Below are 25,099 nucleotides of genomic sequence, written 5' to 3'. Positions count from 1 at the left end.
CAAGGAGTCTATGGCTTTTGCAGAGTAAAATAATTTGTGTTATTTTCTATATCATCCTTCAAAGCTGATATGGATTTTACTCACAATAGGCACTAAATGAATAATATTAAGTAAATTTATTCTTAGTATCCAGTCCAGAAATCACTGTGGCGATTCTTATGCCCTTCTGCAAGGTAGGTCCCATAAAGCCTCTTGACATTTTTCTATTTCATGCACTCTTTATGTATACATTTATCAAGTACCTACGACAATGTCATATTATTGTATTATATGTGTAATACATTAGCATCTAATACTCTGTGATAGATGCTGGAGATAAAATGATATATAACGTATTGTCCCTTCCCTCAACAAGTTCACAATTTAGGCTTAACGGGCCATAATGTGGTACTAAGTAGAGCTAATATTGCCAGCTACATTTCCAGGCTACCAATTTTATTATGAATCTTGCAGGTACAGAGTTTGGTGTCCATTTGGAGAAGCACAATGTGAATAGATTGTGACAGGGACTTGCAAACATCTGGTAGACCCAAGTAGAAATGAAAAGCTTCCATTCCTACTCCAAAAGATAAAAATACTTGGTAAAATACAACAAAAAACATAAAGTCAAACTTAATAGCAAGAAAGAGGAATCTTCAGGTGCTAAACATGAGAAAAGAACTCCAATCTAGGAGAAGTGGAGTTGTCTGTCTTTGAGGACTGAACACACACTGAAGACAGTTGGATTTCAGCACCAACCCAGGGCTGGAAGTGGAGGTTGTGGGCCCAGAGATAAAGGAGAAGCTGTAGTTGGACTCTGTGCATAGAAATAGACCCCAAGAAGGGGCTGTAATAAAGGTAAACTAAGATTTGAATATTTTATACTATCTTGAGGATTTTGAAAAAAAAGTTCAAAAACATAATTTATAAAACAAATTGAAAAAGTTGGCTACATCAAAAAGTATTACCATTTTATTTTGCATTTCTCTGATTATTAGTGAGGACAGAGTCCTGCTCTGTCACCCAGGCCGGAGTGCCGTGGTGCGATCTCGGCTCACTGCCAACCTCCATTGCCCAGGTTCAAGTGATTCTCTTGCCTCAGCCTCCAGAGTAGCTAGGACTACAGGTGCACGCCACCATGCCCAGCTAATTTTTTTTGTATTTTTATTAGAGATGGGGTTGTGCCACGTTGGTCAGGCTGTTCTTGAACTCCTGACCTCAAGTGATCCACCCACCTCGACCTCCCAAAGTACTAGGATTACAGGCGTGAGCCACTGCACCTGACCAGGAATTTTTAAAGTAAACACCAAGAGAAATTCTTACATAACTATTAAAGAGACATATATATTTATTTAATCATGACTTATAATTGCAAAATATTAGAAATGATCTAAATGGCCAGCTGCTGAGACATAGATAAATGCAACTTGGTATGTTCTTGTGATGAAATGCTGCAGAGAAGAAGCAGAGCCCACTGACTGTTTTTGTCAATAAAGTTTTATTGGAGGACAAACATGCTTCTTCATTTGCCTTATAGCCTATGGCTGCTCTTATGCCATAACGGCAGAATTGAGTAGTTGTGACAGAGACTATGTAGCTCACAAAGCCTAAAATATTTATGATCTGGCCCTTTGCAGAAAATGTTTGCTGACTCTTGCTGTAGAACAATTGAAGATAAATGTTTCTGCATGAACAGATTTCAAAAATAATCTTGAGTGAAAATTACAAGTATTCAGAATGACGCACAACATTTATTTTATTCCTATTAATTTGTAAAACAAACAGAACAGCAGTATAAGTTGGTTATAGAAACTTTCTTGGCAAAACTTTTATAAAAACTCAAAGGTCAAAATTTTCATCCAATTCATGATAATGGTTCCAATTCTGAAGTGAGAAAAGGAAAAAGGACTGAAATGATCGCAAAAGAGAGTTCAGCTGGTCTGAAGGTTTTTTTCTTCTGTTTTCTTAAAATATATTTAAAAGAAACTTAACAAATATATCAACTTTGTTAATTCTGCATAATGGATATTTGTTATATTTTCTCTGTTCTATTCTATATTTTTTTTAATAAAAAAGGGGAAAGATCATCTTAGTAGGTTACAGAAAGCCTGGATTCTATCTCAGAGATGTCAAGGCTTGGCTCATACCCACCTGGCTGTTGCCATTTAAGTGTACACCAAGCCCCTTCCAACTCCCAGGACTGACATCTCTTTGGCTAGCAGCTTTCTCTGACTTTCTCTGAACCTGATCAGTCTCTGCATGTAGTAGGCTGAAGTGTCAAGTATTAACTTCCACTCACCCACAAGACCCTTCTCAATGGCTGAAGAGAGTTGGTGTGTATGCGCTCAGCAGGACCACCAGTGAGAGAACCCTGAGGTATGTGTCCTGTGTTGCTTCCCAGAGTTCCCACCCAAACGAAGTCAGTTACATACAGTAAGAATTTATTTGATATTATGCCCAGTACTGCCTCTTTTCCCTTTCCCCTACTGGTGTTTCCTGGAATTATTTTCCAAGTGAACTACTGCACTCAAATTCTTGTCTCAGCATCTGTTTCTTCGGGAATTCAAACTAAGACAGTCATTTACACTTTATAAAATATGATCACACAGTTGGTTCCTCAAAGATCTAGAAGCAGAAACACCATTTGGTCCAACAATCCCATTACTGGGTATATGCCCAAAGGGACATAAAGCATTCTGTTTAAAAATACATGCATGTTTATGTTCATTGCAGCATTATTCTCAATAGCAAAGACATGGAATCGACCCAAATGCCCATCAATGATAGATTGGATAAAGAAAATATGGTACATATATACCATGGAATACTATGCAGCCATAAAAAGGAATGAGATCATGTCTTTTGCAAGGACATGGATGGAGCTGGAAGCCATTATCCTCAGCAAACTAACACAGGAAAAGAAAACCAAACACTACATGTTCTCACTTATGAATGATAGTGAATGATGAGAACACATGAACATTTAGGGGGAACAACACACACTGGGGTCTGTTGGAGGGTGGAGGGTGGGAGGAGGAAGAGCATCAGGAAGAATGGCTAAAGGATGCTGGGCTTAATACCTAGGTTATGGGGTGATCTGTGCAGCAAACAACCATGGCACATGTTTATCTATGCAAAAACCCTGCACATCCCGTACATGTACCCCGGAACATAAAATAAAAGTTGAAGGCAAAAAAAAAAAAAACAAATCTGACAATAAATAGCCACTTAATATCTTTGGAATAGCTTACATAAAAAGACTGATAATACCAGAAATATGCTCACATATAATTTCTATAGTTATATCTTTGTGAAGTAGGTTGGACAGGGCATATAATTTTCTATTTTACAGGAGAGGAAACTGGGGGCTGAAGAAGTTATCTCCCACCACCACCAACAACAAAAACCAGAACAAATAGAATTTGGACTAAGATGCAAGTCTCCTGACTTTCAGGTCGAATCTTTCTATTGTGCTCTTCTACTTAAGAACATCACTCTCAGCCCTCCATTTCCACTGTGTAAATGTAGGCTGTATTAAGAGACCTTGAATCTGTAAAAAATGGTGCCACTTTGATTTTATTGTAACTGCCTTGGAAATAGTCACACATGTGTCCTAAAGGGGCTTTGTCTCTGTGTTCAGAGGACTCTGGGGTTTTCCTGAGTGCCAGCTGGTGAAAATGCTTATTTAGTCTACTCTTTGGGAGCAACGAACAAGGTGCAAAGGCTCCCAGTTTCTGTAGGAAAATCGCTGGTGAAACAGACTTTCTTCCAGTCTCCTGTCTCTAAGTTGCCAAGGTTCACCTTCAAAGGGTGGCGTGTCAAGTTTTGTGAACTAATTGCTTTAGCTTTGAGGTGCTGAGGCTTGTTAAAAATTCTTACTCCTTATTGATTCCCTGTGGCTTTTCAAAAAGAAAGGACACTTTTCATCCAGCATGTGAAGAACCTGTGATACAATATCATCAGGAGTTGAAGGCAATCAAAGTACAGATTTCAAAACCCATTGCTGCAAAATGTTTACTTGTCAGATCTCATTTGTTGACAGTGTTGAAACGTGTGTAACTTCTTGCTAGGCAGACTTTTAAAATGTGAGGACATGGCAGTAATGAAGAAAATTTGTACGGTGGGTGAACTGTGAGCTGGAGTGTTTGAGTTTGACCTGGTAAAGTCAACACAATGCCGGCATTAGTATTCAGATGAAATCTCAGCTCCTGTGAACAAGCTGCCATGCGGTCAATTTGTCAAGATAAAACTTCAGAGCCTTGTTCTGTGTCTCTTCTCTTTAATAACCAGAACTTCCAAGACAACGTAAGAGGCAATTTCAAGGATATTGACGACAATCTTCTTTCTGAAAGGGTTGCACTGAATATACTGGCAAAGTGCTTAGTCAAGCACTTTATAATTTACAAAGTGTCCTCTCCGAATTTTGCTGTTTGGTCTGCACAATCATTTCTTGGAGTTGAGAACATTTTTCAACAATGTTGGATACTAATTATTCTACTGATTATTAAGTACTTCATGCATGGAAAGCACACAGAAAAACTTTTGATTGTTTGATTGGCTAAAAACAAGGCAACCTAAGCTTTGGTAAAGTCTGGTTGTCCTTCATTCTGTGAACTTACTCGTTGATCATTTAGTTAAATTACCATCTGATCCCCATGTTCTCAGCTACATTTGTAAAGAGTAAATGCTGGGCCAGGCGTGGTGGCACACCTGTAATCCCAGCACTGCAGGAGGCCGAGGTGGGAGGATCACTTGAGGTCGGGAGTTTGAGACCAGCCTGGCCAACATTGTGAAACCTCGTCTCTACGAAAATTACAAAAATTAGCCAGGTGTAGTGGCGCACACCTGTAATCCCAGCTACTTGGGAGGCTGAGACAGGAGAATCGCTTGAACCCAGGAGGCAGAGGTTGCAGTGAGCTGAGATCGCATCACTGCACTCCAGCCTAGGCGACAGAGCCAGACTCCATCTCAAAAAAAAGGAGTAAATGCCTATTGCACTAGAGCTGGCTTTAGAGAGGTAAGGTGTTGACCCTAAGTAGTGGTTAAGGGGCACGATCAACTCAAGATAACCCTTCATGGGTGACAATAAAATCATTATACCTTTGTCTTTCTGTAAATTCACATTTTTATCTCAGTCTTCATTACCCTAGCAGAGAATTTGTCAAAGTGTATTCCAAAGAGCTTTATGGATGTCAATGGGTATGACTTGTTTTTTAAAATAAAATTAAGATATCAATAAGTATGATTTGCTTTTTAAAATAAAATAAGGTTAGTGGTCAAATAAGTTTGAGAACTGCTTGTTTAAACCAAGTTTAAGAATTGCTGGTGTAGGCCGGGTGCAGTGGCTCACACCTGTAATCCCAGCACTTTGAGAGGCCGAGGTGGGTAGATCACTAGGTCAGGAGTTCAAGACCAGCCTGGCCAACATGGTGAAACCCCATCTCTACTAAAAATACAAAAATTAGCTGGGCGTGGTGGTGTGTGCCTGTAATCCCAGCTACTTGGGTGGCTGAGGCAGGAGAATCGCTTGAACCCAGAAGGCAGAGGTTACTGTGAGCCAAGACCGCACCACTGCACTCCAGCCTGGATGACAGAGCAAGACTCCATCTCAAAAAAAAAAAAAAAAAAAGAATTGCTGGTTTAAACTAAGTTGAAAATTTCTCAATGGTAGGATTCTGCAGAGCATTTAATGGACTCATATATATTGTACTCTCCAGAAGAGATCTTAAATAGTAGTGTTTCTTAAACAAACTTAACTCATTAAGCTCCTTTACCTGGATCATCTCAAGGACTGGCACTCCGCAGAATACAGTATGGGAAATACTAACTGGGTATTAGAAAAGGATAAAATTTCATTGGCTTCTCTTAATTAGGTCTTTATCCTCATGCTAATAAATTTGTTAACTTTAGTTTATCCCTAATGTTTTCCCTTTTTTTAAATTTTTTTTTTAATTTTTTAAGGTAGAGTCTCACTCTTGTCACCCAGTCTGGAGTGCAGTGGTGTGGTCTCAGCTCACTGCAACCTCTATCTCCTGGGATCTAGTGATCCTCCCACCTCAGCCTCCCGAGTAACTGGGACCACAAGCGGCACCACCACGCCCAGCTAATTTTTTGTATTTTTAGTAGAGACGGGGTTTCGCCATGTTGCCCAGGCTGGTCTTGAACTCCTGAGCTCAGGTGATATGCCTGCCTTGACCTCCCAAAGTGCTGGGATTATGGGTGTGAGCCACCACGCCTGGCCACTTTCCCATTTTTCTATGAAATTTTCCTGGAAAACAATATAATTTACTTGCATGTTGGTTTGTCCAAGAAATTGAGATCTTGTATCCTTGCTGCTATAGAAATTCATGCCACTCTGTAGGGTTACAAAGTATTGAAGAGGAAAGCTGAGAACTCAAAGTGCTCATTTCCAAAAGTAGTATTTTTCATTGAGTCCATTAAGTTCCTAAGCTGTAATTTGAATATAATAAAAGTATAATATACATGTCAGACATTTTACTCCCTGACAAACCAATGTGCATAGAAAAAATATTTGTGAGAAAATAGCAGACCAAAGCTAAAGAAGAGAAAGTAACAATATCATTTTATTGCAGGGTGGCATAGGTAGTTGTACTTATTAAATACATGACAAATAGGTACCAGCAGATGAGTTAGATGTAGGGATACAGATGGAAATAAACTTCCATGGTCCCCATTCATCAAATTTATTGTCCTCTGAGAAAGACATGAGTTCATCTGATCATTACAGAGGAGATGAGTGTTTTGAAGGAGAAGCAGAGGGTTTTGTGGATGTGATTAGCAGGTGGACCTAACCAGCACAGTGGGTCAGGGAGGGATTTTCTCAGGAAATAACATTCAGGCTGGAGTCTGAATCTTGAGCTCTGAAGCAGGTGTCAGGACATTCAGAGCAAAGTGGATTATATTTGCAAAACTTCACATGCTAAAAGATGAGAGAAGTCCAGTCAGTAGCAAGTTGTTCTTTGGAGGTCCTCAGAATATGTCACAGCTTCTTGATTCCTCCTTACATGCCTGTAAGAGATATTCACTATCCAATCAATTGTTTATCACAGACCCTACTATGAATGAGATTCCATAGAGGATACAAAGGATGTGTAATACACTTCAAAGTAATTTAAGGCTCAGGAGCAAGCTACGAATGAATTAAGAAAATAAGGCAAAGACAAGTAAATATTCAATGTCATTAAAGAGCATGCGGAATATAAGAGATGGTGGTCAAACTAGGTCCACTCAATGGGTCAAGCTGAGGGCATATGTCAAGGACACCTGCAAAGCCCTGTCCAGGTGCTTAGAGAAAACAGACTCTAGGGTATTTCAAAATGTGCTAGGTACACTCTAAAACAGAACCACTGTTTAAATGCTGAAGATAGTTTCTATCTGATAAGAGGTGGTGATCCAATACACCTTTAGAGGACTGTCTTCCCTTCTTCAGGCAAACCCCTTTCCTTGGCCTTTTCATTATAAAAATGCAATAACAATAATATATAGACATCTTATTTAAATCTCACAATACCCGTGTGAGGAACATACAGTCTTACATTGCTTCATGATAGAGATACTTTCTGAAAAATGCACTGTAAGGGGATTTTGTCCTTGTGTGAACTTTCTTGGGTGTACTTACACAAAGCTACATAGGATAGCCTACTACACACCTGTACTATTTATTTGGTATAGCTCCTAGGCTACAAACCTGTACAGTATGTTACTGTACTGAATACTCTTGGCAATGGTATTTGTGTATCTAAACATAAAAAGGTGCAATAAAAATACAGTATTAGAATCTCATAGGACTACCTTGTCATTGACCGAATAGCTCATGACTGTATTATTTTTATCATCCCCACCTTACAGATGACTGTAGAGGTTTATCAACTTGCCCAAGGTCATATCGAATTTGGGACTATAGTCCTCATTTGCTAACTCTAGAACCTGCTTCTCTGAGTTTCCTGAAGTAGCTTTGACAAATTATCTTAAACTAGATGCCTTAAAACAAGAGAAATTGACTCATAATTCTAGAGACCAGAAGTTCAAATTCAAGGTGTCAACAGGGCCAGACTTTCCCCCAGAGACTCTAGGGGAGATTGTTTCTTGTCTCTTCCAACTTTTCCAACTTCTGTGGCATCCCTTGGCTTGTGGCCACATCACTCTAATCTCTGCCTCCAGGTTTACACTCCCTCCTCGTTGTCTGTCCTCTTTGTGTTTCTTAAAATAACACATTATGTTGGACATAGAGACCACCTGTATAAGCCAGGGTGATCTTATCTGAAGACCTTTAACTTAGTTATATTTGCAAATATCCTTTTTCCAAATGAAGTGACATTCAGAGTTTCTAGAGAAGTGGACATAGACCTATATTTTTGGGGGTCACCATTCAACCCACTATTCTGCCCTTACCCAGAACATCATACTATTCAATTGGTGATGTGGTCCAGGCAGCTAAAACTACTTTGTGGTAAAAATGTAAAAGATTGTCTATGCTGGAGGCAGACAGCCCAGTTAGCATTTAGGGGAAAATGTGTTTTGTCTCAGGAGGAGACGGGGATGATGGGGAAGATGCTATGGCGTTTATTTCCCACTGTGATTCCCATAGCCAGAGCTGGTGGGAACATTTTCAAAATCAACCTTGTGAAACTCTGGACAAAAACAGAATGATTTGGGGATCCAGGGCTCAAGTGAGGTGCAAGCTTGGGGACTATGCACTACTTCTGAATGGAATCCACACCCATCTGGCTCACAGAAGAACCACTGTTGTGAATCACATTCTTTTCATTATAGCTTATGATTGATAATTGCTTTTAAAAAGTCTAGGCTTTGGAATACCCATTTTCTATCTCTTCTATTTTTCATGAGCTCTCTAGACATACTGTCATTTCCTCTGAAAACAATAACGGTATTGCCTCCTTTATAAATACACATTTTACTAGTTCATGTTTCATGATCTGTCACATTATGTAGATTGTGAGCAGTAACTAGGGTAATGGACATAGCATAGTTGAGCCTCAGAAGAAGGGCTAATTTGTGTACAGTGAGGTCAGCAGCAGAGCAAACAGCCCTGAAGTTACTGCAGCGATTTCATCATTTGAAGGACGACAATGATGGTCAAGACCAGCTTGAAGGCGGAGGGCAGAGGACAGAAGGTGGCTCTTTTCATCACCCCACACTTTAACATGTAGTCCATCATAAATAAAGTAGATTATCACATTTTTCACATTTCACAAACAAAATTGCCTTTTATTTTAGGTGGTTTATTTCCTCTTTGGTGAGGCTTTCATATCTTTCCTGTGGCTTTCATATCTTTCCTCCTGCAATCTCAGTGTTGGCCGTGATAACACGTTCACTTTCTCTTCATTAACTGTCATTCCACAGAGAGACATGAACACAGAAGAACAGAGACAAGTCAGGGAAGCCCAGAAGTCCATTATAGAAACAGAGGATGGAGGAAATATCAAACAAAATTAAAATGTCCCTAAGTAAATGCACACTGCTCTATAGAGCATCTCGAGGTTTGTAATCAGGCATGTGAGTAGGGAAAGGTGTGTCTGGAGTCTCTAAGTTTTGCTCTCACTAACACAGCCTTTCATCAACGATAATTAATTTGGTGTCCTCACTGCAGAGCGTGATTCTCAGCAACTACAGTATCTTACTGTTTAGGTAGTTTTAAGTTTTATAAATATAACACAAACTGTTCCTACAGACCTGTTTTCTGAATTAAGGTTTTGCTTAAGTAGGCAAGAGCCATCCTGAGCCTTCATGTCTGCCAGGAAATATTAGGTCACACAGAGTCTCCTATTTGACCTTGGCATGTTGTTGGCAATAGCCCTAGATCTTTTTATCTTGTCTCTAGCAAGAAAAGAAAATAAAAACGAAAACAAAATAAATATCTCAGCTGTTGCAAACTTTATGTCAATTTACTTATAATATTTTAATTATAATTGTAAAAGTAATATATACTTACTATACATAACTTAAAAATAAAGAAACATGGAGAATAAATTGAAAAACCTGTAATACCACTACTTAGTGGTAACCTGTGGTAATAAGACTTTCATATATTTTGGGTAGTAATATTTTAAATTTATATATGTATATACCATTTATTGAATTCCTGCTGTGGGTAGGACTAGAGTAGTCATTTGACAAAGGGTCTCTCATATAAATTCACAAAAATGTTCTATTAGACAAATTCTATTCCTCTGATTTTATAATGACATCCTGATGCCCAGTGAATTTTCAGAGAATCTCAACTAAAAAACAGTAAAAGTGCCACTAAAAGAGTCTAACTCCAAGCCTCATGCCTCTAACCTCAATGCTTCATTGTGTCTTATGTATGTATCTATACATACATACATACATAACACTATTTGGAACTTAGAATCTTTTATTTTGATTTTCATGATGGCAATCACAAGCATTTCCCTCTGTTATTAAATATTCCCAGAAAATGTTATTCTGATGGTTGGATAGTATTTTGTTGCATGAGCATCTCAGATTGTAATATTGTAATGCACATCAGTGAACATAAATATTTGGCCTCTGATTGGTTCCTTAGGATATGCCCCAGAAGTATATTGTAAAAGCTGTGACTATTTGTCAGACTCTCAACATTTATTCTGAAAGTGTAGGACAGTAGCTTATCCATTAGTAAACATTCATTAAGCCAAAAGCCATTCACTTGGGGTGTGGGGCTGGGGGTTAGGTTGATAAGAAGCAAGAGGAGAGTAAAGAACAGAAAAATGGGGGAAAGCTTCTGCTGAAGAAGTGAAGGAGACAGGATGAGCTGGGACCCTGAGGCACCGACAGGTTAATGGCCTGTGTTTTTGATCTCCTTTCTTTGGCAGATCCATCAAATCTTCCTTTACATATCCCCCCTCATAGCTCTGGCTAATTCTCAAATTAGGATTTGAAGTGGCATGAACAGTCTAGAGAAAGGAGAGGAAGTTTGGGAAAAGGATCCTACAGAGAAAACAGGAAAGTTACCACCTGCCTCTGCAAGCTCTTGCTGCCTGCACTGGCCACACCATCACTTTGTACAGCCAGAAGAAGGGCTTGCCTGACACTCCCAAGCCACTGTTCATGACTCCTCTGGGGACCATTGCTGATGAGATCAGTTTCTTTAAGACAGTTGTGGCCAGATGGTCCCATTCCTTCTCTTTTGCTAAAATTCTTACAGAGGAAAAGATTTCACGGTATAGCCTTTATTTGTCAGCCAGGTCATCAATCTTTACTGTCAAATTCACATTATCCTAAGGCTTATTCTTCCATGGGGTTACTGAGATGCAAGGCTTCCAAAGCACTATTTCCAATCTCTGGTCTCTATGTTCTCAGTTACTGATATCTGGCCATGGGCTTTCTGACTGTGCTGTCTTGAGTGTTCCTCTTGTATCTGCAGCCTGCCTCCTAACTGCAGTCCCCTTAATTGTCTCATAAATATGGCCATCCAGAAATGAGTTAGCAGCTTTGATGTCTGGTATCTTCTTCTCCTTTACCCTGGAAACCTAGGCCTCTGCCCATATGTTTTTCTTTGTGTGCTTTCAAAAGCTAGTAAATGACATCATTTGATTCATCAAACAACAATATTGAACAGCTATGATGTGCCAGCCATTCTGTTATTCTATTTCTGTTTCTAGGAATAGATAAAAGAAGAGGCCATGATTCCTGCCCTCAGGAAATGTTCAGTGAGTCAGAGAAAAATACAAATAAATAATTACAGTAGGTTTGTATAAATAAATTACTAGACATAGGCCCAGGGTAACATAGAGAAGCATTCAAATTAGATTGGAAGTAATGGAGGCTTTGACGAGGAAATGGAAGGAGTTCTGAATGATGCACAGATGTGAAGTAGGAGGAGAGGGAGAAAAATGTGGCCGTGGAAGAAATGACAGCAGGGGAGCAAGCAGGGGTCTTTGAGACCATGTGTGTAATAGGCGGGGTGGCCAGATGTAGCAAATAAAAATCCAGGACACTCAGTAAAATTTGAGTTTCATATAGACAACAAATAATGTTTTACTGTAAGTATAAATACCTCCCATTTAATATTTGGAACATACTTATACTAAACCATTATTTGTGATTTATCTGAGATTCAAACTTAATTGGGTGTCCTGGATTTCACTGGACCACCCTAAGTTGATAGGGAATGGCTAGTGATGTAGGGACTGCAATAAGAAGTGAATAATGGAGTGACCATAGAACAAGAGGGGGGGATCAGATCATGATTTAAACGTGGCCCCAAAAGCACCAGAGATCATTGGCAGATTTCAGGCAGGCAATAATGATCACATTTGCATGTTCAGGGTCACCTGGGTCTCCATCTGGGGCATGAGTGCAGGAGGCCAGTCTGCTGGGGTGCCCTAGGTGAGAAATAAGGGTGTGTGAATTGAGGCAGTGGGAGAAGGGGAGCCTGCACCTCCCAGGGCTATTTGTCATTCTCCTTCTGTGTACTGATTTTCCAGTGAGGTCCTGACAGTTAACCTACAAGAAGAACTGCCCAAAACACCTTTGATATTGACCCAACATGACCAGAAATCTTAGATGAAGGATGCCCAGTCCTTGTAGGTGGAGAATTCACTGACAGTAGAAGGAAGGTAGGTTAACACTGGCTGTGTGTCAGATGGGCCTAACAATGCAAATTTAAAAAATAATTACAGTGCATTTTTATACAGATAAGGTCAGGCATGGGCTCAAGTTTCTGCGGAGAAGCTAGACTCGGGCAAGACTCTTCGTTTATCCTTTAAGGTACCAGAGCCCCTGATCTTATGGAGTGTGCCCAAGGCCATATATCTGTTCAGGTTCAGAGACCGGCCTGAAGACCAGATCTTCTGATTGAGTGCCCTTTCAATACCATCACTTGATTTTTGTTTTTTGGTTGTTTTGTTTTGTTTGTTTTTTGGTTACTGATATAGTTTGTCTATTTGTCTCCACCCAGATCCCATGTTGAAATGTAATCCCTAGTATTAGACGTGGGGCCTGGTGGGAGGTGACTGGATCATGGGGGTGGATTTCTCATGAATGGTTTAGCACCATTCCCTCGGTGGTGTCCTCACAACAGTGAGTTCACATGGGAGCTGGTCATTGAAAAGTGTGTGGCACCTCCCCTGACACTCTCTCTTGCTCCTGCTTTCACTATGTGACCTACAAGCTCCCACTTTGCTTTCTGCGATGAGTAAAACCTTCCTGAGCTGTCCCCAGAAGCTGAGTGATGCCGGCGCTATGCTTCCTGTACAGCCTGCAGAACCATGAGCCAATTAGACCTCTTTTCTTTATAAACTACCCAGTCTCAGGAATTTCTCTATAGCAGTGCAAGAATGGCCTGACACAGTTAGCCTAGGTTGACAAAAAACAGGAAATGGGTGCAAGGTATAAAGCCATACCTTGGTGGTAGAGGAAGGGGCAGGGTGGGTCATTAGGAGATGAAGACCATGTAGTGCCAGAGATCACTGTCTGGTGGAGACCAAAATGGACAAGGCTAACAATAAATAAGTACAACTGGGCCTGAGATAAATGTTCTGGATGTAAACAAATTGCCATGAGAGCTGAGAGTGGGGAGACTCACTGGGAGTGAGGAGATTGAGAATGATTTCATAGGAAGAATGCAATTTATGCTGGGGTCTGCAAGATCAGGGGTCTATGGCAAGGGAATCAAGAGGAAGCCAGGAGCTATGAAGTCTTTGCTGTGTTCAAAATCGTCATTTGTGTCTAGGTCACAGGGGCCTTGAGGGAAGAACTGGGAATAACAGGTGTTGACGTGTGGAGAGGTAACCATTTGCAAAGAGTCTTGGAAGCCCTTAATAAGGAGTTTGGCCTGTATTCTGCAGGTATGAGAAGTTATCGAGTTTGTAAGCAGGGAAATAACCTAATCATAGTTGTGTTTTAGAAGGAGAGCAGAGACCACAGGGTGGAGGTGGCTTACATGTGGGAGGAATTTAACACAAGAGACATTTAAATAAAGTCACTGAAGCAGATCAGGAGTGTTACCAAAGGGCACTCTGTGGATCTCTAGGTCCCTGAGCAGCAACTGGGGTGAAAGAGGCTCTCAAGCATGTCTGGAGACACAGAATCTTATGTCTTTCTTGTATCTCCAAAGCTATTTAAATGCAGAATTTTTTAAAATAATAGTTCTGTGGAACTAATATAAGTGACATTTAAAATATTTAATAACCAGTAATGAATAAATACCAACTAGTCATAATGAATGCCAGTATGGCCTTGGAGGCCCTCTGCAATACCAGGCATGTCCTAGATCATGGAGGCAAATGGGAAGTGCCAGGTAATCATGGGGGTAGGGCAGCCAAGATGCAGAGGGCAGCCAGGATGCTCATGGTATTCATCTCTGCAAGTAAGGTCAAGTGGCTGGTGTCAACATTATGGTGGATTAAAAACATACTTGACATTCAGAGCTTTCCACAGTCTTCCCAGAAGCCACATCAAGCCTTACCTGAAACTCCAGACATCATCCCACACTCTCCCTATAGTAAACAAGATTATTTCCTATTTCTGAAAAACGCCTTCTGTTTTCCGTCTCTATGCTGTTGCATAGAGTACGTTTCCAAAGTATGTTCAGAAAAACTCCACCTCTCAGGGGTAACACTCATCCAGTTTGATCTGGTACAAACATGTCAGTTGTGAAAATACTGAAACACATCCATCTCAGTTTGAAAAGCTTCACTTGATTATAAGAACAGGAGCAAAGTGCAAATACCTCCAGAAATCCCCAATCACTTGTTCTCCTCACTGCTCCTGGGGCATGGGTCTATGACAATTCAAAAGCTACAGCTGTACTCCCTAGACGGGACCCTGCCATTACACTCCAAACGGCCTGGCCCATTCCCACCTCAAGGCCTTTGTACTTGACGTTTCTTTTACTTGCGATGTTCAATCACCCTCTTCCAGCAGAAACTTCTTCATGCTCTGGCATTTAATCTGAGACCTACTTTGATGTCTTAACTTCACTGTCACCTCCTCAAAGAGTCCCTCTCTGATCTCGCTATCCATGGAACCACCTGCTTTTTATTTGTTCTTTCAGTCTATTAATTTCCTTCTTGGCATTTATAATAATTTGGAGTCTAATTTTGTTAGTATGATTTTTTTAAAACTCTCGTCTCTACTAGGATATAAGATTTATAAAGACAGGTGCAGCATCTGCCTGGTTCACCATTGTATTCCTAATTTCCTACAGCAGAGTATGGTACAATAGTAAAAGTTCAGGAACAACCTGTAAAAAGAAAGAGAAGCAGGCAGACCAGCTGCCACCTGGCCAGCCTGGGAGACTGGCAAGACTGGAGAAAGACTCCAGGCTTTGAGGGATTGCCCTCCTCTCCCCACCATCCACGGTGTACAGAAGACCTTCACGTTTGACTACATTGGGTTCTGGGCCAATCAATGCAGTGGGCTTGCGCTTGTGCTAAAGATCAGCCATCACAGTGACATGTTTGTCTAAGTGAACTTAGAGCTTCCGGGCCTCACAGTTATGTACTTGGCTTTCAAAAGAACTATTCATCCTTTAGAGCAAGCAGAATTGGGCCTCATCCTTCCAGGTTACTCCAAAACAAATGTCGCCCATTTCTCTGCACATTTGTAGAATATTCAGTAGTCATAAGTGGTACGGAACAGGGCAAAATGCACACCAACCACACTGCTCTGCATCCTGAGCAACTTCATCCCATGTTTTATTTTGCATTGCCATAATGGTACCTGTTATATTATAAAATTAGGTGACATTACAAAATATAGGTCCTAAATAATCCAATTATGTTTTTCTCCTCTCTGGAATAACTAATACTTTATAACAATAAAGAAGAAAAGAAATGCAGGCTTGATCATCCAATGAGGTTCTGGGAAAATTGACGCAAATAAATTACTATCTTCAGCTTTTCACCATAATTTTTTGACGTAGTCTTTGGGATGCTTCAGAATATTAAGAGAAAGAAATAAATAACCTACACATTTATAGTCATCTTTGAAACCTGTAAAAAAGTCACCAATACAGTTGTATATATACAGAAGCATAACAAAAGGACATGTTTAAATATAGATCAGTAGATAAATAGATAATAGTTGACGATGATCATGGATAGATAGATGATAGATAATAGATAGTAGGTAGATAAATGTTAGATGATAAATGATGAGATGATGATGGAGAAGATAAATAGATATATACAGACAGATATTAGATCTCTGCATAGACCTAAACATATAGACAGAAGGAAAGGAAAAAAGAGAGATGTACAAGATTATATCCTATTCGCAACTAACACACATATACAACTTTACTATTTATTAGGTTCTAAATTTTCTCATTTGATTATCAGGACATATGTGTGGATACTTAAAGCAGGGATTATTTTCCTGTTTTACAAACAATCAAAAACAGCCTCACTAGACATCTAGTGCTTTACCCAGCTTCACACAGCTAAGAGTGGGAAGAGCCTCCTGGGACTCCACACTCTTCTTTATGTGTTCTTGATACAGAAGTTCTAAGAAACAAAATCCCTGAACTACATAACAGTCATGCATTTAAGGTTTGGGCATATGGAAATACTTTTTGGTATGAGATAATGTATTTTATTTGTAGGTTAGAACATCTCCTGTAGCATATGTTTCTAGTTTAGCAGAGTTTAGGGAAATTTATTAGTTTGGGCTTCAGTATTCCTGAGATGATGTACAATTTGCTGTGTTCATCTGTATTCACAAGCTGCCATCAGGAAATATCTTATACCAACGTGGGCCCAGAAATCACTGCTGTGATTACGTCTCAGATTAAACTAATACTTAGGACTTTAACCTACCCTTCCTAGAAATCCAACCACTAATTTCCAATCCAATGTTCTGATTTTTATGTTTCAATATTTCTGATGTATTTTTAATTAACCTCAGTGCAAGAAAGGAAAATACACTTTAATCTTTTCTCTTTATTTTGTGTCCTCTCTGTGTCTTTCCAAGAGGAGGCAAGATAGAGGGGGATTTTTAACACATTGGTGGACACTGGCAGAGAGGTCTGCATTTATTTAAAGAGTTGAATGCAAACAAATAGATTAAAGAAGAGGAGAAATAGTAGATATTTGGTGAATGATACAGTTGTTAAACTTTGTTAATTTTTTCTATTTGAAGAATGCTATAATTTATTTATATTTTGAGAGATGCATTATTAACCAACACTTTATAGATTAGGCTCCTTCTTCAACATTTGGAAAAGTTGGGGCAGTGATAGAAAGTTGTTTAGGACATGCTGCATTCTCCTGCACGTGGCCTGCACATGCGCCTCCTGAAGCCCCTGAGACATCTGGGTGGTGTGTGGGGCAAATTTTTTAACTGGTTTAGCCCAGCATCATGAAGTTATTTGGCTGTGAAACCTATTTCTTGAGGAAAACCCAAATTAGCCATAGAATATACTTTAAGCTACTGCTTGAAGTACATTCATGTTTAAGTTCAATCACTTTCTTATGTTTAAATTGGCCAGCTAATTTGATATTTTTAAAACTTACTGGACAACACTTATGTTGAGCAAAATCAGTGTTTTTGAGAGGCAGGGTTAAGGACTAGTCAGGAGGGAGTGAGATCAGGATTAGGTTTATAGTCAAGGTGAATAAAAGATTTATTTCCCTTTCACGCCCCTCCTTCAGGTAAGCGCCTGTTTATCATGTAGATATACTCTTCCTACCTGACAGCTAGTTGCACTGTAGCAAATTTTTTTTAGCTGTTTTCATTCTACTCTTTCACTTGTAGCTTGTACTAGTAGCATAAGGAAAAAAAATACCCACAAATATCGTTGTTAAGCAGAGTTAAACCTTTTTTTACAAGTCCTCCATCATTTATCTCTTGCAACTGCTTCCTTAAACTTGGTTAGTTTGTAGAATTTCACACATTAATCTTCCTGTAGCTTGCTTCTGAGAAGGCTTCATTTCTCCTTCTTCACTCTTGTTCATTAACCCTATAATTTTTCCGTCTTGGTAGCTCAGTGATGTCATCATTCTTTCTGAAACCATTTCTAGACACTGAAGGGGAAATTAGCACCATAAGATTTAGAGTTTTTGCCACACACACGGCCATGTAGAGAGGCTGCATGAGAAATAGCCAAACCAAATTGCTGAGCCCCATTCAAATGGTTTGAGTCTCAACTGAAGTAAAATGTTTGCTGGAGAGACATCAATATTAAGCTTAGTGCTGAATTTTGAAAAGAGGCAACAGTAAGCAATGGGCTTTGCTGTGGACTGAAGGTTTGTGTTCCCCTAAAATTCATATGTTGAAGCCTTTATCCCCAGTGTGTTGGTATTTGGAGATGAGGTCTCTGGGAAGTAATTAGGTCATGAGGATGGAGCCCTCGTGAGGAGATTAGTGATTTTATAAGGGAATTCAGAGACCTGAGCTTGCTCTCTAATCTCTGCCTTGTGAGGACACAACCAGAAGATGGCTGTCTACAAACCAGGAGGTGGGTCCTCAGCAGACACCTGATCTGCCAGCACCCTTAATCTTGGACTTCCAGCCTCCGGACTGTGAGAAATAAATGTTTGTTGTTTAAACTACCCAGACTATTGTATTCTGTCATAACTGCCTGAACGAACTAAGACAGGCTTCATGAAAATGGAAGTAGATTGCGATAAGTTGGCCCTATCCTCAAATTTTGCACATAATGGCCTGATTAACCTCAAATCATAGTAGGATTATCATAGTCCAAGCACTGTAAAGGAAGACCTCTGTTGCCTGGAATATAAAGCTCATGGACATTTGATGAAATGACCATCACTCAGGGGTCTTCTATGTTCTCAAAATGACAAAAATTTATATTTGTGAATTGTGATCTTTTTCCTTAGCTACACTTATGAAACTCTAATAATTGTGCCCTCTATTGATGTCATGTAAATGTAGCTATTCCATTCTTTTCCCCCAAAATCTGTTTACTAAAATGTATATTTTGCTTGAGAAACAAAGATAATGAGAGGTTATTCTTTTTTACCTTAACTCTTTACAAGGTTGCTATCAATTTTTTTGGTCAATTATTTTCTGGATTGGGAGCTAGGTGAAAGGAAATTACAAATTTTAAACTATTTTCTTAGCACCATACTTGACATTCCTTTAAAATCTTGTTTGTAGAACATGCCTGAGGTCTTCTCATCATCCCAGATTTTCAGAGTTATGCAACACCTATCTTTTAAACTTAAAAGGGAACAAGTAAAATTCTCCAATTAGTAAAACTCTGCTTAACACTGTATATGTTACCTAACATTCATAATTCTCCAAGTAGGTTTTTAGTTTTATGCTTCTTTAAAATTTATTCTAAAATGTCGCATCAAAATTCCATTCAATTTTTAAGCAAAAAATGAACAGACTAAAGAGAAGTATGAAAAATTAGGGAACTGGGCAAACCAAAAACGTCTGGAAATATAACTGGCCTGTTGCATTTGTTCTCTGTAATTAGATTTCAGTTTCTTCTTTGATTCTCGGAATTCTAGCTGACTTTGGGAATTATGTCATCATGAAGGCTACAACTTTATAGGGATAAAGTTGTAAAATGGCAATCATTTTTGTTCCTTAGGAAATAAGCAAATAAAACAAGAAACTGTTTTCCCAATAGTTTTCTTAAGACTATATTTATGACATCTCTAAAATTTAAAAGATTTTTCTACTCACTGTTGAGAAGATGGCTTTAACTTTTCTCATTATCTAGGAGCAACAATTTCAACCACAACATTGCCATTGAGTCACTATTGAAAGGCTTCCAGGAGAAATGACTGGGTTTTCCTTTTATTCACTGGGCTTTTTTTTTTTTTTTTTTTTAAAGAGCAACACCACACTCCAAAGAGGTATTTTTTTATTTCATATTTCTCAAAGTCCAGCCTAGATCTAGACCGCTAATAATTCAGAGCAACAGAATATTCACAAACCCTTCCTACAGGTTAATACGGAACATCCATCCATTCTAAAATAAATACCTTCCAAACAGTCATATAGGAATTGTAAACTATGAGCTAAAATTATAGATAAATTTTCCCCCAAAATTATATATTTAATTTCTTCTAAACTTTTTCTTTTCAATGTGAGCTAACGACTTCAAAGACAACTGTATGCATGTTTATTCTACACAGTCAAAGAAGAATTTACTTAGCCAATTTTTTATAAGAGCAGATTTGTGATTTCAAATATTTGAATGTCTCCCCATACAAAGGAATGAAATATCTTCTAGGTAGCTTCTGCGAACAGATCTGCAACCAAGGGCTGGAAATTACAAAGATATTCTGATAGGAATTAAATTGTGATAGGAAAAAAAAACCTTTCTAAGAATTTGCCTAGGAGGATACTTTGGGAGGAGTGAAATCCTGTCCCTCATGATTTTCAAGGAGTGGCCCAAGCAAGAATGCCACACAGGTTGTTCTTGAGTTTTTATTGGAGGCTGGAGAAAAGGGCCATCATCTCCCTTTCAACTAGGACCAAAACATTCATTTCTCATATCCAAGGTTGTGGTTGTTAAGAGGGTGATTTGAAGAGATCACCAGGGAAAGTAGTGGGATTTCTACTTAGCACCAACTCTGTATGTGAACAGCATTCTTTATTCCTACTTACTTAATCAGCTCAACATTCCTGTGCGACAGATATTACAGCATCTGCAGATGAAAACCTGAGATTCAGAACTGGCTAAGATATAGTCTAATAAATTGAACTTTTTCCCACTTTCCAAAAATTCCTATTTCAGATTCCAAAGTATGTGTTCCTTCTACACATTATATGGTTCTGGTATTCTTTCTCTGCAGTTGCTTCCATTATCAGTAGTCTTCAAGATCAATTCAGAAAGAGATTTAAAGAGTACTGCTTCTAGATGATTTTTCAATAAAAATGAATCCTCAAGGCACATGTCATTCCCTTCTGCTTCTTGGGAGCTGGTTACCATATTTTAATGAGGATTGTGCACTTACGTGTTCAAGTCTATTGACTGCTTGCTGAGAAAAATATTCTCCAGACATAAACAAGCTAAACCATGAGCTCTTTTCTCATTTCAGAATCTCTTGTGGCACCAAGTACAGTGCTTTACATTAGTAGGCATTCAACAAATGAATGTTCAATTGAATCCAATGTTATTCTTGGGAGTGTTTACAACATATGTAAATGGAACTATTACATGCCTTAAAGCCAATGACTTTGTGAATCTTGACTTCCAATTGATAAGCTATGCCAACTTGGAATAGTTATTTAAGCTCTCCGGATCAAATTCCTCAGCTATAAGATAATGATAATAATATTTCCCTTTCATGATTATTGTGGAAATTAAAGATAATTCATGCAAAGAATCTAAGCTACTGCTTATCACATAGAAGTCACTTAGTAAATAGCAGCTATTATTATCTTTGACTTGTCAACTTGTTATTATATTAAACACCTGTATGAGTTTGAAACCATAGAGATTTGCCAGTAGTTCTATTAGATGATTTACTCTAAACCTTTCCTTTATTCCAGAAGGCTGCCTGTGGATAGCTTTCGAAAGGTAATTTCTCCATTTAGTCAACTAAGGAAAAAATTTTTCTAAGAAATGTGAGAAAAACAAAATCCCCTGGGTTTAAAAAAAAAAAGTTATTTACAGCTGGGTGTGGTGGCTCATGCCTGTAATACCAGCACTTTTGAAAGGCCAAGGCCAGCGGATCATGAGGTCCAGAGATGGAGACCATCCTGGCTCACACGGTGAAACCCCGTCTCTACTGAAAATACAAAAAATTAGCCAGGCGTGGTGGCATGCACCTGTATTCCCAGCTACTCGGGAGGCTGAGGCAGGGGAATCGCTTGAACCAGGAGGCAGAGGTTGCAGTGACCCGAGATCGCGCCACTGCACTCCAGCCTGGGCAACAGAGCGAGACTCTGTCTCAAAAAAAAAAAAAAAAATGTACTTATAGTATACCCAGTGATATGCAAAGAGCACTTAAATGTGACCTCTTCCATTAAGAAACTAACATTCTAGTTAGAATGACAAGACCAAAACCCATTAGAAAAGAAAACCAGAGAGTGATTTACCACCAAAAACTTTTCTATTGATAACAGTATGACAGATTTCCAAAAAAAAAAAAAAAAAAAAAAAAGAGCCATCAGAGTGGGCTGGAGACATCAGGGAAGTCTTCAAGAACTTTGGCAGCCACAGGTAGAAGTTGTATGGCATGGAGAGGAAGAACCACATGAGGAATAAGTGAAGGGAAGAGTAAACATGTGGGTGGAAACCTTGGAAGAGCTTATGGTGAATACCAAATTAGAGGAGGAAATTGGGTGAATGAGATGGGACCATCTTATAGAAACATTTTGGCTACAAGGAGAAGAAACCTAACACTGGATTAGGTTCAAAGAGAGAGAGAGAGAGAAAGAGAAGAGAGAGAGAATACATTGGCTCTGTTAAGCAAAAAGTCCAGATCTTGCTTCAGGCAAGGCTAAATCCAAGACAGAAAAAGATGTTATCAGAGCTATCTCTTCTTCTCTCAGCTCAGTTGACCTGTGTGTTGGCCTCATTCTTTCCTAACTACAGACGCTTTCTTCCATGTTGCCAGGGAACATGGCTGGGGCAAGCCCAAATTATCAAGTTAGAAACTTAGAAATTTTGGTGAAAGGAGTATTTCTTTATTCCACTGGTTTTCTAAATATGGTTTGCAGACCCCTAGAGAGTCTCTAAAACCCTTTTAGGGATCCACAGGTCAACACTATTTTTATAATAATACAAAGACTTTTTTCCTTTTTCATTATATCGATATTTTTACTAATAGTGCAAAATCAATGTTAGCTAAAACTGCTAGTTCCTTAGCCAGAGGCACCAAAATTGTACTAGCAGTCATTTTATTCTTTACTGCTACACAGTTACAGTAAAAATTTTAAAAACCACTTTTATTTAAGAACATCCCTGAAGAAACAGTAAAAGTTATTAATTTTATCAAATCTAAACTCAAAGTACATGAATTTTTAATATTCTATGGAATTAAATGGGAAGTGCACTGTACTAGGTTTCTCCAGAGAAACCAAACCATAACGGGGTGTGTGTGTGTGTGTGTGTGTGTGTGTGTGTGTAGAGCGAGAGAGAGAGAGAGGGAGAAAGAGAGAGAGAAAGCAGAGAGAGACAGGCAAGTCCCACGATCTGCAGTCAGAAGCTGGAGACCCAGGAAAGCTCCTGGTTTAGTTTCAATCCCAAGGCCAGCAGGCTTGAGACCCAGGATAAGCCAATATTTTAGCTTGAGTTTAAAGGCAGGAAAAAAGCTTATGTCTCAATTTGAAGGCTGTCAGGTAAGAGAAATTCTCTCTTACCTGGAAAGGTCAGTCTTTTTGTTCTATTCAAGTCTTCAATTTATTGGATGAGGCTCAACCCCATTAGGGAAGACAATCTGCTTTATTCAGTCTACCTATTCAAATGTTAATTTTATCCAGAAACACCCTCACAGAAAAACCCAGAATAATATTTGACCAAATATTTGGGCACTCTGCGGCCTAATCAAGTTGACACATAAAATTAATCATCACGTGCACCTAAAGGACTTCTACTGCACACCACAGTACAATCATGTCATGAGGAAAAGCACTCAGCCAAATGTTTGAGTTGTGAGCCACATTTGCATGGAATACTATTTTAATTTGAAAGAATAACCAATACATAAACTATTGTTATTCAGAATTGAGTACGGTGCTTAACGTAAATGATAAATTTTTAGCTTTCTAATTGCTGATTTTGGAAAACGTGTATTAGTCTGTTCTTAGGCTGCTATAAAGAACTGCCTGAGACTGGGTAATTTATAAAGAAAAGAGGTTTAATTGACTCACAGTTCCGCATCACTGAGAAGGCCTCAGGAAACTTACAATTATGGCAAAAGGCACTTCTTCACAGGGTGACAGGAGAGAGAATGAGTGCAAGTGGGGGAAAATGCCAGGCACTTATAAAACCATCAGATCTTGTGAGATTCACTCATTATCATGAGGGCAGCATGGGGGAAACTGCCCCCATGCTCCAATTACCTCTACCTGTTCCCACACTTGACACGTGGGGAAAGGTGAGATTTGGATGGGGACACAGAGATGAACCATATCATTCCACCCCTGACCCTCCCAAATCTCATGTACTCACATTTCAAAACACAATCATGTCCTTCCAACAGTCCCCCAAAGTCTTAACTCACTCCAGCATTAACCCAAAAGTCCAAGTCCAAAGTCTTATCTGAGACAACACAAGTTGCTTCTGCCTATGAGCCTGCAAAATCACAAGCAAGTTAATTACTTCCTAGATGCAATGGGGGTACAGGCACTGAGTAAATACACCCATTCCAAATGGGAGAAATTGACCAGAACAAAGGGGCTACAGACCCCATGCAAGTCCAAAATCCAATAGGGTAGTCATTAAACCTTAAAGTTTCAAAATGATTTCCTTTAACTCCATGTCTCACGTCCAGGTCATGCTGATGCAAGAGGTAGGCTCCCATGGCCTTGGGCAGCTCCACCCTTGTGGCTTTGCAGGGTACAGCCCCTCTCCTGGCTGAATTCACAGACTGGCATTGAGTGTCTGAGGCTTTTCCAGGCATGCAGGGCAAGCTGTTGGTGGATTGATAATTCTGGGGTCTGGAGGGCAGTGGCCCTCTTCTCACAGCTCCACGAGGCAGTGCCCTAGTGGGGACTTTGGGGGAATCCAACCGCACATTTACTTTCCACACTGCCCTAGTGGAGGTTCTCCATGAAGTTTCCACCCATGAAGCAAACTTGTGCCTGAACATCCAAGCGTTTCCATACATTCTCCGAAATCTAGGCAGAGGTTCTCCAGCCTCAATTCTTGACTTCTGTGCACCCACAGGCCTAACACCACAGGTAAGCCACCAAGGCTTAAAGCTTGAACCCTCTGAAGCAATGGCCTGAGCTGTACCTTGGCCCCTTTAGCCACAGCTAGAGCTGAAGCAGCTGGGACACAGGGCACCATGTCCCAAGGCTGCATGGAGCAGGGGGTCCCTGGGCTCAGCCCACAAAACCATTTTTACCTCTTAGGTCTCGGTCTGTGATGGAAGGGGCTGCCATGAAGGTCTCTAACATGCCCTGGAGACATTTTCCCCATTGTCTTGGTGATTAACATTTCACTCCTCATTACTTATGCGAATTTCTGCAGCAAACTTGA

The 25,099-nt window shown here is 39.5% G+C and overlaps 1 protein-coding gene across 11 annotated transcripts in view; it reads right to left on the bottom strand.

Moving 5' to 3' along the window:
* The window catches only part of RFC3 (replication factor C subunit 3), a 159,229-nt gene that overhangs the window by 4,283 nt on the left and 129,847 nt on the right, over positions 1-25,099 (bottom strand). For 5 of the 11 annotated variants that reach the window (XR_007063695.1, XM_047430491.1, XM_047430492.1 and 2 more), the window contains one exon: positions 6,537-7,008. The exons of 1 other annotated variant lie outside the window; for it this stretch is intronic. Coding sequence is in view for 3 of the 10 variants with exons in the window: in XM_017020683.3 (XP_016876172.1) it covers positions 6,942-7,008 (67 nt within the window). In the remaining 7 variants the exon portion in view is untranslated. Of the gene's footprint in view, positions 1-6,536 lie in introns of those variants that run through there. 5 more of the 11 variants (XM_017020680.3, XM_047430489.1, XM_047430490.1 and 2 more) reach the window with 2 other exon arrangements.

This window comes from Homo sapiens, chromosome 13, assembly GCF_000001405.40.
Source record: "Homo sapiens chromosome 13, GRCh38.p14 Primary Assembly".
In the NCBI taxonomy this organism is placed as follows: domain Eukaryota; kingdom Metazoa; phylum Chordata; class Mammalia; order Primates; family Hominidae; genus Homo; species Homo sapiens.
Note: the sequence above shows the minus strand (reverse complement) of the source record. Positions and strands in the feature narration are given on the sequence as shown.